The following is a 12,860-nucleotide window of genomic DNA, read 5'->3' on the forward strand; positions in this document are numbered from 1 at the left end:
AGAGAGATTGCACTGGATGTGTGAGAGTATAAGAATCAAGGTTTAAGAGGAGTGAATAATAGTTAAATCAAATTATTTATAATTGGATGTCCTTCAACTTCCAGCATGCCTCTCCCTTTTTCTCCTTCAATATTAAGTCTTGGGTTCTAATTGCTTCCTGGAAGGGGAAGTGATAGTGCAGACAACTAATAACAAAATAATGATAGCAAAATAGTAATGGTAACAGTAACTGCTAACATGTATTGTGTATTTACTGTTTGAATGCCTCCCTGCAGACTGCACACTGAGCATTTTGCATATATCATCTCCTTTAATCTTCCCCACAAGCCCATTTCACAGATGAAGAAACTAAAGGTCAGAGGCACCTGGTGTATGTAATATGCTCAAAGTCACATCGCTAATAAGAAGTGAAACCTGAATTCACCTAGGGGGAAAAATTGGTTTATTTTCTAATAAGGTGAGTAGGTCCTTTCTTAATTTCTTTTTTAGGGACTCAGAATTTATATTTAGAACAGGGACAGCTTGTTTTTCAGCTTGTCGCTTGATTCAGTGTGTTCATACTTTGTGCCATCCACCAAATATTCTCAGGTTTTTACCTTCTGAGCACTTAGAAAGATTACATAATTCCCTCCTCCTTCCCCCTTCTGCCCACCCTTGTGACTAGGAGATCAGGCAACAAGTGGTGAGAAATGGTTTTGCGTGTTGCTTCTGGCCAGGGCTGGATACTTCTAAGCTTGCTTTCCCTGGGCAACATTTCAGATGGGAACTGTCCTCTCAGCCTCAGCCTAGAGAACACTTGGCCCCATTGCAGAGGGAGAATTGTGTGAGTGAGAAGGAAACCCTGGCATGTTTTATCTGGGATCATTATAGATTTCCAGAAAGTTGCAAAAATAGTATGCAGTGTTCCAGGAACCCTTCATCCAGCTTCCCCCAGTGGTGACATGGTATATGGCTGTAGTACGATATCAACCAGGAAACTGACATTAGTATAGCACTATTAGCTAAAGACTTTATGCAATTTTTTCCAGTTTTACCAGGAGTCCTTTGTGTGGGGGGGGGAGTGGGGGAGAGGGAGGTACTATGTGATTTGATCCCATGTACAGCTTAACCCTGTCATTGTAAGATTTTGATGTTATTATCACAGCAGAGATTCCCTACCCTGCCTGATCCACCCAACCTCTTCCACATTTAGGTGTGATCTTAAAGGCCACCTGACTCCTGGAAAGTCATATTTTGGCCAGAAATTACTGATTAAAGTGTTTCTTCTGGTCATTTGGGAGATCAGAAGTGATTCCGGGATGGTAGGAGGGGTTGGGGGAAACATGTATACTTTTTCCTTTGCTTTTAGGTATTTAGGAAACAATTTATGTTACTTGAATTGGTTTGGGAAAATGAGGCCTCTCGAGAAGTGAATGCCTGGGAAATTCAGTGTTTAACAGACCTGATAATAATGTGAGAAGAAGGGTGGCGACAGAAGCATAGATGGGCTTATTATGTGGAAGGCGAGAAAAAAAAAAGATTTTAATGCCAACACTCCCCACATGACGTGAATGAACATGCCAATTCGAGACTCCATTTCTCGTTCTCATCTACACAGCCTGGCAAAATATTCTGAAAGCATAAGCGAGGAAATATTTGTGCTGCCACAACATTACCACTTTCCTTCTCTAGTACTGTAATTTTGGTGGCAATTCTTCAAATGACCAATCTACTTGGAAAATTACTTTTTTTTCTTTTGCCTTAGAGAACTGTCATCTCAGATTATTTTGATCAACACTTTAGCAGTAATCTCAGGACATGGAAACAACCAATTTGCAGATAATGTCATACAGAATTTAAGTCTGAACAAGCAGAAAAAATTGGTTAAGAGTCTGAAGCCATATTTAAATCTCCATTCATCGACTGGCTGCATTGATTGAATTATTTAACCATTGTTTTATACATACTTTTAATTGAAATTTTTTCTGGCTATAATTGAAGGTTCACATTTAGGCATAAGAAATAATAGAGAGAGACTGATTCTGTATCCCTGTTACCCAGTTTCCCCCAATGCTGACATTTTGCAGAACTATAGTGTAATTTTACAACCACGCAATTGACATAGATATAATCCACCAATCATATTCAGATTTTCCCAGTTTTACTTGGACTCATTTGTGCTGCTGTGTTTGTATTTAGTTCTATATAATTTTTCACATTGCAGGTTCATATATTCGCCACAACAATCAAGGCAGAGAACATTTCCATCACCACAAGGATCCCCAATGTTGACTTTTTACAACCACATCCAACTCCCTCCCTCTCTTTGTCCTCCTCCCATGGTTTCTTATCTCCCTAGCAACCACTAATCTGTTCTCGGTTTCTAAAATTTTTATCATTTCATAAATGTTCTATAAATGGAGGCACCAGTGTGTAATCTTTTGGGCTTTTTTTTTTTTTTTCACTTAGCATGACTCCCTGGAGACTCATCCAAGTTGTTGCAATATTGATAGTCTGTTCTTCTTTACTACTAAGTAGTATTCCCTGGTGTATTAATCCATTCTTGCACTGCTATAAAGAAATATCTGAGACTGGGGAATTAATAAAGAAAAGGGGTTTAATTGGTTCATGATTCCACAGGCTGTCCAGGAAGCATGATTCTGGCATCTGCTCAGCTTCTGGGGAAGCCTCAGGAAACTTACAGTCATGGTGGAAGGCGAAAGGGGAGCCAGAATGTCTCATGGCTGCAGCAGAAAGAGGGAGAGTGGGGAGATGCTACACGCTTTTAAACAACCAGATCTCTCTCGGTCTCACTCACTCACTATCGTGACAACAGCACCAAGGAGATGATGCTAACCCATTCGTGTAGGATCACCCCCATGATCCAATTGCCTCCCACCAGGTCCCACCTCCAACACTGGGGATTACAATTTGATATGAGATTTGGGTGGGGACACAGACCCAAGCCATATCACCTGGTATGGATGCACCACAGCTTGTTTAACTATCCACTTGGTGAAGGACATCTGGGTTGTTTCCAGTTTGAGACTGTATCAATAAAGCTGCTATGTCGGTTCCTGTTTAGGTTTTCACGCGGATATAAGTTTTTATTTCTCTAGAATAAATACTTAAAAGTATGATTGCTGGGCTTTCTGGTAACTATATTTAGTTAATGAGAAACTGCCAAACAGTTTACCAGAGTAAGGGCACCACGTTACATTGTCATTAGCAATATTTGAGTGATCCAGTTTTTCCTCATGCTCCCTAGCATTTGGTGCTGTTGCTCTTTTTGTTTTAGCTATTCCGACAGGTGGGTAGTGATAACTCATTAACTCGCATTTCTCTGATGGCTAATGAGCTTGGACATGTTTTCATATTCTGTCTGTACATCCTTTTCGTGAAAATGTCTATTTCTGTGTTTTATTCATTTTCTAATTGGATTGTTTTTTTTTCCTGTTGAGTTTTGAGAGCTCCTCATATATTTATTTGCCTCCCAATCTATAGCTTGTCTTCCCACACACTTTAACTAGGCTTTCTCTCAGGAAACATTTGCCTTATAGTTTAAAGGTATGTTTCTGAGGCATTAAAATAACTATGTTCATTTTTTCTTAGTAATTTAACTTTTTTTTTTTTTTTTTTGAGATGGAGTTTCGCTCTTGTTGCCCAGGCTGGAGTGCAATGGCGCGATCTCGGCTCACTGAAACCTCCGCCTCCTGGGTTCAAGTGATTCTTCTGCCTCAGCTTTCTGAGTAACTGGGATTACAGGCATGCGCCACCATGCCTGGCTAGTTTTTTGTACTTTTAGTAGAGATGAGGTTTCTCCATGTTGGTCAGGCTGGTCTTGAACTACTGACCTCAGGTGATCTGCCTGCCTCGGCCTCCCAAAGTGCTGGGATTACAGGCGTGAGCCACCGCGCCCAGCCTATTTTTTTTTTTTTTTTTTTTTTTTTTAAGATAGGATCTAACCCTGTTGCCCAGGCTTGAGTACAGTGGTGTAATCACAGCTCACAGCAGCCTTGAACTTTTGGGCTCAAGCAATCCTCCTACCAAAGTCTCCTGAGTAGCTGAGACTACAGGTATGCACCACCATGCCTGGCTAATACTTTTGTATTTTGCTGTAGAGATGGGGTTTCACCATGTCGCCCAGGCTGGTTTCAAACTGGTGGGCTCAAGCAATCTGCCTGCCTCAGCCTTCCAAAGTGCTGGGATTAAACTTGTGAGCCACCACACCTGGCTAGTAATTTAACATTTATTGCCTTTTAAAGTGCTTTTTGTTTCTCTTTCAGATCTGTAAATATAGAATGAAGAGTTTTTTTTTCCTCTTAGGAGATTATTAGGGACATAGTTTCATAAGAGAATGAGAAATTACTTTGTGTGAATTTAACATGCTGTCTCAGCATCAGCAGAGTTAACAATGAAGACTCTTTAGTACAGAAAAAGAAGATGGACAGAATTTCAGCAGAGAAAATATGCTAGTGTCTAAGACTTTGGTAGATATAGTCTGTGTAAAGGGAAGAAAATGGGGCATTTGAAGAGAGAAGAATCTGGTAGCCTTAAACAACTGGTAAAGTTCTGGTTATCTGGAAGCTGAGGAACTGAGGGCCCCGGGTCCGTCCCAGCCACTACCTGGGAAGGAAAACTGGTTCAAACGAAGCAGTGACAGAAGCCAGTCTCTGCTGAAGCATTTAAACTGCTCTGGATTTTACAGTGTACATTTGCAGAGAGTTTATTTAACCTGTCTGGCTTTGCATTTCAATTTTCCATCTTCTAATTTAGGCTTAAGATTCTTAAAATAGGCCTGGCATGGTGGTTCACGCCTGTAATCCCAGCACTTTGGGAGGCCAAGGTGGGTGGATCATGAGGTCAAGATATCGAGACCATCCTGGCCAACATGGTGAAACCCTGTCTCTACTAAAAATACAAAAATTAGCTGTATGTGATGGCGCACGCCTGTAGTCCCAGCTACTTGGAGGCTGAGGCAGGAGAATCGCTTGAACCCAGGAGGCGGAGGTTGCAGTGAGCAAAGATGGCACCACTGCACTCCAGCCTGGCGACAGAATGAGACTCTGTCTCAAAAAAAAAAAAAAAAAAAAAAAAAGATTCTTAACCTATGTTGTATTAGACTAAATGCTGAAAAAAACATCCAATTTGTGATATAATACTTCCCATATACTCTATGAAAATGTAAACACATATACATTTATATACTGTGTATCTAAATGATTTTATTACCTCTAAACTGTATTAATAATGAAAGTTGCATGATATTTGTGAAGGTTATTCTAACATAATTTTCTCACTATTTAAAAGACTCAAAGAGATTATGTTATCTTTCTTCTCCTCACTTTCTGTATTTTCCATTCTTTCTCAATGTGAAGACTGACCTCTAGTGTTCTGTTCTTTTAAGAATTAATAGACTAAGTCTAGTAGTGATTAGATATCTGTATACAAATTGTTTCAAAGATCAGTTCTACAAATATTTGTTACGTATCTACCAAGTGCTACAACCTGGTGATTAAGATCTTCCTCATTCTACGACTGCCTCAAACCATGCTCCTTCTTTTGAAGGACCTCTGTTGGGTATGCATTACATATTACGGAACTAAGACAATATCACGGAACTAAGGAGGTAAAATAAGGGGTGGCACATCACTAAGTTAAATCAAGAGACAGAGAAAAACATGCACGATCCTGTTTATATACATCCATGTGTTGCTTAATGATGGGGGTATGTTCTGAGGTATGCATTCTGAAATGCATCATTAGGTCATTTTGTCATTGTGCAAACATCACAGAGTGTATTTACACAAACCTAGATGGTCTACTACACACCTAAGCTATGTAGTATAGCCTATTGCTCCTAGGCTACAGACCTGTACAGCATATAACAGTCCTGAATACTAGAGGCAATTGTAATACAATAGTATTTGTGTATCTAGACATACCTAAATGTAGAAAAGGTACAGTAAAAATGCAGTATAAAAGATAAACAATGATACAGCTCTATAAGGCACTTATCATGAATGGAGCTTGCAGGATTACAAGTTGCCCTGGGTGAGGGGAACATCACACACTAGGGCCTGTCGGGGAGTGTGGGGGCTAGGGGAGGGATCGCATTAGAAGAAATACCTAATGTAGATGACGGGTTGATGGATGCAGCAAACCATCATGGCATGTGTGCACCTATGTAACAAACCTGCATGTTCTGCACATGTATCCCAGAACTTAAAGTATAATTTTTTAAAAATTGAGAAAAAAAAAAAAGAAGTTGCCCTGGGTGAGTCAGTGAGTTGTGAGTGAATGCGAAGGCTTAGGACATTACTGCACACTACTGTAGACTTTACAAGCACTGTACACTTAGGTTACTCTAGATTTATTAAAAATATTTTTTCTTTCTTCAACAGTAAATTGATCTTAGTTTTCTAGATGACCATTTCTGTATATGTGCTCTGTTGCTAACTGAAACATCATCATACGGCTCATGACTGTATTTAAAATGGTTATTTCCTGAAATGTTTGCTCTTATGAACCACTGCATTCAGAGATTGATCCCCACAAAAAGGCTTTCAGAAGTATAATTTCTAAAACATGCCAAGCCTTTAATGTTATGGATTGCAGTTTTTCATGAGAATGACCTAATGAGTTTTAAAAACATTTTATTGGAGAAAATTTCAAACATTCACAAAAGTAGATAGACCGACATACCTATCTACTTTGGAGAATGTTTGAAAGACATATGGGAAGATGGCGAGAGGGAAGAAGGAAGAGAGAGAGGAAGTGAGGACTTAAAGAATGAGAAGGAAAAAATAGTCACCTCCTCCAAGAAGGTGTCCTTCATGTTTGAAATTAACCATCCTTTCCTCAGCAGGCTTTCTATTATTTCATTGTTATTTCTTTCTGCCTCATTTAAAATAAAATGTTACAAATGTCCGTTTCTGCCTGTTGAGGGGTGGAATATGTCTTTCTCCCCTTGTGTTATTTCTCAAGGAGCACCCTGAGGTGATCCTGTTAAAACCTCACTTGGATCACACTACTCCTTTGTCCAAACCCCATGAAGGTTTTCCACTTAGAGTGAAGCTGAAGTCCTCACAATGGCTTCAAACATGCCGGTATTCTCTGCCCTGGGGCCTTTGCACAGGTTTTTTGCCCTGTCAGGAACATTTCCGCCACCCAAATATCCACTTAGCTAGTTCACTCACCTTTTTCAAGTTTTTGCTCAAATATTACCTTCTATTTCCCTACTCCAGCACTTCCTACCCTTTTTGTTTTTTGTTTGTTTTTGTTTTGTTTTGTTTTGAGACAGAGTCTTGCTCTGTTGCCCAGGCTGGAGTGAGGTGGTGCAATCTTGGCTCACTGCAAGCTCCGCCTCCTGGGTTCACGCCTTTCTCCTGCCTCAGCCTCCCAAGTAGCTGGGACTACAGGCTCCTGCCACCACGCCCCACTAATTCTGTTTTCATATTTTTAGTAGAGACGGGGTTTCACCGTATTAGCCAGGATGGTCTCAATCTCCTGACCTCATGATTCGCCCACCTCGGCCTCCCAAAGTGCTGGGATTTCATGCGTGAGCGACCGCACCCGGCCCCCTTTCTTTACTTGACTTAATTTTTCTCCAAAGCAAGTATCATCAGAAGTTTCCATGAGCCGCATTGAACGTAAGCTCCAAGTGCAGACTGTGTCTCCAGTGCTTGGCTTGGTGAGGGTGTGTCACACAGCCGATGCTGCAGAAGCATCTCTGAGATGAATATTGAATGAACTGTGTCTCACAGAGTGGATTTAATATAGTTGGCACACTTGATGAATGTTTGTGGAATGAGCCAATGAATAAATTCTGACCCAAACTTGCTCTAAGTAACCAAACTGCCTGTGAAAGCAGGGGAGGCCAATTGAAACTAAACTGTAGAATGCAGAGCCAGGTAGTGGCTCCATCAACTTTGAAAAAGGTGTCTGTGAACCCAGAGTATGAGTTGTGAGAAATCAAGTGAAATGTTCCTCCTACTTCTGTTTCAGAATCCACTTCTAATTCTGAAAGTCACATTCTACGATTTTCCTTAAATATCTGGCTCTGGTACAAATCCTTTGAAAAAAAATAGTTAGCAATCCTCATCACCCCTAAACTGTTATACCCTAAGCTGGGTATTTCAAAGCAGGCTTCTCACTTACATTAATACAAGATTTCTGTTCCTCCTGTTAAGTGACAGTGTACATCCTTTGCAAAAAAAAAAAAAAAAAAAAAATTTTTTTTTTGCTTTTGGTCACCCTGTAGCAATTTCCTTGGGAACAAAATAACAAGTGTAGAAATATCAAGGGAAAAGCACAAAGGCCCTTCTTCAGTGGGTGGTCAATATCACTTTAATTCTTCATTGTAATCCTCACAAACACACAGCCCTGCGAACTATTAAATTACTATGGGGATTTCTTCTGGGCTCCTCGCCCCAGCTGGTCTCAGGATGTTCTCGGCAACAGGCAGCTTGGGTAATGTTCTCCAAACACCTGTCACCTGCTCCATACAATAATCTAAATAGAATGTGAATACAAAAGGCCTATTAACAATTATGCAATGATCAGTTTGGCTCAGGCGGCATGTCTGTGTGGCCTCCTTGAGAACGTGTTGAACATTCCCTTAGCAGGCACATCAAAACACATGAGACAAGAAAGGGCATGAGGAGATGGTTGCTAACTCACTACTCCCAGGCTCAGCCAAATGAGTCTGCGCATATGGAGGTGATCAGTGGGTAGAGACAGACATTTGTGTGAGGCTAAAGGCAGGGGATCTGGCGAAGCCTATGTGAGCCAAGCTCTGAAACTTATGTATCTGTGTGTGTGCACGTGTGCGCACATGCATGCACACATTTAGTGAGTAGTTCTTTCTCCTTTGTTGTTATACAAATGACATTCAAACTCTTGGTGTTTGAACCCAGGCTTCTTATCTTCCCCACCATCTTTACTTAATGCATGACAGGTCCAGGGTAACCAACTGTCCCCATTGCACAGGACTGAGGGAACACGGGACTCTCAGTGCTCGATGTGAGAAAGTCTCAGGCATACTGGTACACGCTGGTCACCTTATGTCCTAAGTTCTTAGTCTACGTTTGCATGACACCTATATTCAACTCACCAGTATATACACAACAGACTGATGATTCCAAGGGGGACCAACCTACACCAGCAATTCTAAATAAAGTCACTGAAAAAATACCCCTCCTGGCTGGGGCAGATAACCCCCATCACAGCCTGCCCTTAGTATGCAACTGTGTGGAGCAGAGACTAGTCTATTAACTGGAAATGTCTTCTTTATTGAGGGCTTCTTATGGTTATGCTAAGCCCTTTACACAATTTTCTCATTTAATCTACTCACTAATTTATAAGGAAGGCACTCTTAGTTTTCCCTATTTGTAGATGAGTGACTAAGAAGTAAAGATGTCTCTCGCTTAAGGCCACATAGATAGTACATGTGCAATCTGAATCTCAGGCCTGTTTGAGGCCAAAGATAATGTTCTTAGCCTCGGTGCTCTGTTGCCTTTGTATCTAGTTCCTCCAGGAAAACCAGGCTGAAAGCTGACTCTGTGACCATTCAGATCCATGTGGTGGGCTCGGAGATGGCTCTGGTGATTCAGAAGGGCTGCTTAAAAAAATATGTGTTTAATCAATGAAGGAACGAGTAAATACACTGGCGGGAACTCTGGTAGCTTAATAGTTTCCAGTTAGCTTCATGTTTAAAACAAGACAAATCTTTTTTATTTTTCCATCAATTGGGAGTTAGTTGCCTTCAAGTCCTAAGGATTTCCAAAATGGAGGTCTGACCTAGTTACTGTCCCTGTCACTCTCCTCTTTGGGGGACATGCTGACATCAGCAGACACTCACTGTTGGGGATTACCTGGACCAGGAAGCACTAATGTCTTTGCAAGATTCTTCTAAGACTAGCTGATTTCAGGAGGTCCCAGGACTGAGATAGCTTCTGAAGGTTTGCTGTAGGCAGTGAGGTCAATATTAATGCAGTTCCCAAATCTGGCCTCATGTGTAACAAGATTGATGCTCCCTGCTTTTCCCTAGGACAGTCTAATTTGAAGACTTTTCCGTGATTTCAGGGGAAGGTTCCAAAATAAAGGATGCATGCTGATGTTCTGCGGCCTACGTTTGGTTAGTAAATATATTTTGTTTGACCTGCACTGTGTTCCAAATTTTTTTTAGTTATTTGATACTTGAAAGAATAGGGAAACCTTGCATGAAAACATGCATTTCTAGCTGCTTCTCAAACATTAGAAAACTGGACCTATACCTACCTAGCAGCACTGGCTGAGGCTAAGAACAGCTGACTCCCTTAGACAAGATGTGTGTGTGTAACTTACACAAGTCCCACGGGCTCTATTATCTACTGAACACATTGCATGTATTTATGCTACTTGTCTTCTCTTGTCATGCACCGGAGCTTGTGATTCTTGCTCTAGATTTACGTTGTCCAATATGGTAGCCACTAGCTACATGTAGCTAGTTGCATTTATATTTAAATTAATTAAATTCATAAAATTTAAAATGTAGCTCTTCAGTTGCACTAGCCACACTTCAAGTGCTCCTTAGCCACATGTGGTTAGTGGCTACCATATTGGGCAACCCAGATTAGAACATTTCCATCATCACAGGGAGTCTGTTGGACAATGCTGCTCTAGACATTATTCTAGAATTAAGGCTGGCATCTAGTATGAAATTATTCCTACCTCCATATCACTTACCACCCACTGAACAGATTTTACATTCTGAAAATCTTATGGCAAGAGCAGAGGGAGGAGGATGAGACAGAGGAGAAGGAGGAGGAGGAGAAACCACTCATAGAGTGCTGACTCGTGTCAAGCACTATAATAATATAATAACGACATTCCATGAATTGTCTCATTGAATTCTTTCAACAGTCCTATGAGATAAGGGAGATTATAACTCCTCCCCATTCTAAAGATAAATGGAGGTTTAAGAGTTCACTACATCGTACTCAGGAGGCTAAGGCAGGAGGATTGTTTGAACCCAGGAGTTTGAGGTTATAGTGAGCTATAATTATGCCACTGTACTCAATTATCAATTCTCTGGGTGATAGAGAAAGACCTTGTCTTAAACAAACAACCAATAGTTCATTACATTGCAGAAGGTCACATCGTTAATAGACGGTGGAGCCAGTTTAAACTGTCTGACCCTAGAACTCATGCTCCTAACTCATGATCTTTCAATAACAGAAAATCCACAGAAATGGACCCCCAGTCTCCATTAGCAGTGAGCCCACTGAAAGTCAAGGGGAAGGGATTCTGTGCCCTCAGTCCACTGGGATCTGGCTGAAACTTCCAACAAATTAGTGCAATTAGCTAAAAGTTATATTCTTGGCCAATCCTAATGCCCACTTTGATTAAAAACTGAAAACTGTCCATTTTAATGTCGATAACTTATTTCTTCATTTCTGTTGTCATTCCATTGCTTCTCCTTTTCTAGAATTTGAGAATTCATGGCTACTAAGTATTAGCTGATTGCAAATATTGATACCTATTTCAAATATTTATTAAGAAAGGAATTTACTTTGACATTCAAATGGAAATGACATTTTTTTTATCTTGAACAGAGTTTATTATTAAATGTGTTGTTCCAGAGGAGCCAAGATGGCCAAATAGGAACAGCTCCGGTCTACAGCTCCCAGTGTGAGCGACGCAGAAGATGGGTGATTTCTGCATTTCCAACTGAGGTACCGGGTTCATCTCACTGGGGTTGCCAGACTGTGGATGCAGGACAGTGGGTGCAGTGCACCGTGCGCAAGCCAAAGCAGGGCGAGGCATCGCCTCACCCGGGAAGCGCAAGGGGTCAGGGAATTCCCTTTCCTAGTCAAAGAAATGAGTGACAGACACCACTTGGAAAATCGGGTCACTCCCACCCTAATACTGCGCTTTCCCAATTGGCTTAAAAAGCGGCACACCAGGAGATTACATCCCTCACCTGGCTCAGAGGGTCCTACGCCCACTGAATCTCATTCGTTGCTAGCACAGCAGTCTGAGATCAAACTGCAAGGTGGCAGCGAGGCTGGGGGAGGGGCGCCTGCCATTGCCCAGACTTGATTAGGTAAACAAAGCTGCCGGGAAGCTCAAACTGGGTGGAGCCCACCACAGCTCAAGGAGGCCTGCTTGCCTCTGTAGGCTCCACCTCTGGGGGCAGGACACAGACAAACAAAAAGGCAGCAGTAAACTCTGCAGACTTAAATGTCCCTGTCTGACAGCTTTGAAGAGAGTAGTGGTTCTCCCAGCATGCAGCTTGAGATCTGAGAATGGGCAGACTGCCTCCTCAAGTGGGTCCCTGACCCCCGAGTAGCCTAACTGGGAGGCAACCCCCAGTAGGGGCGGAATGACACCTCACACGGCCGGGTACTCCTCTGAGACAAAACTTCCAGAGGAACGATCAGGCAGCAGCATTTGCAGTTCACCAACGTCCGCTATTCTGTAGCCACTGCTGCTGATACCCAGGCAAACAGGGTCTGGAGTGGACCTCTAGCAAACTCCAACAGACCTGCAGCTGAGGGTCCTGTTTGTTAGAAGGAAAACTAACAAACGGGAAGGACATCCACACCAAAAACCCATCTGTACATCACCATCATCAAAGACCAAAGGTAGATAAAACCACAAAGATGGGGTAAAAACAGAGCAGAAAAACTGGAAACTCTAAAAATCAGAGCACCTCTCCTCCTCCAAAGGAACGCAGCTCCTCACCAGCAATGGAACAAAGCTGGACGGAGAATGACTTTGAGGAGTTGAGAGAAGAAGGCTTCAGACGATCAAACTACTCTGAGCTACAGGAGGAAGTTCGAACCAATGGCAAAGAAGTTAAAAACTTTGAAAAAAAATTAGACGAATGGATAACT

At 41.7% G+C, this 12,860-nt stretch overlaps 1 long non-coding RNA gene across 1 annotated transcript in view, besides 2 other annotated features; it reads right to left on the reverse strand.

The window, feature by feature from the left end:
* LOC105377144 (uncharacterized) overlaps positions 1 to 12,860 on the reverse strand; it is a 192,342-nt gene that overhangs the window by 51,123 nt on the left and 128,359 nt on the right. The gene's annotated exons all lie outside the window — the stretch shown is intronic.
* Positions 11,481 to 12,019: an enhancer, noted in NCBI's record as "NANOG-H3K4me1 hESC enhancer chr3:66893104-66893642 (GRCh37/hg19 assembly coordinates)". NCBI's record gives its function as "activates a minimal SCP1, AML or CMV promoter by ChIP-STARR-seq in naive H9 embryonic stem cells {active_cell/tissue: H9 hESC(naive)}" and the evidence as "EXISTENCE:reporter gene assay evidence [ECO:0000049][PMID:30033119]".
* Positions 12,020 to 12,556: an enhancer, noted in NCBI's record as "NANOG-H3K4me1 hESC enhancer chr3:66893643-66894179 (GRCh37/hg19 assembly coordinates)". NCBI's record gives its function as "activates a minimal SCP1, AML or CMV promoter by ChIP-STARR-seq in naive H9 embryonic stem cells {active_cell/tissue: H9 hESC(naive)}" and the evidence as "EXISTENCE:reporter gene assay evidence [ECO:0000049][PMID:30033119]".

Source organism: Homo sapiens, chromosome 3 (assembly GCF_000001405.40).
Source record: "Homo sapiens chromosome 3, GRCh38.p14 Primary Assembly".
In the NCBI taxonomy this organism is placed as follows: Eukaryota; Metazoa; Chordata; class Mammalia; order Primates; family Hominidae; genus Homo; species Homo sapiens.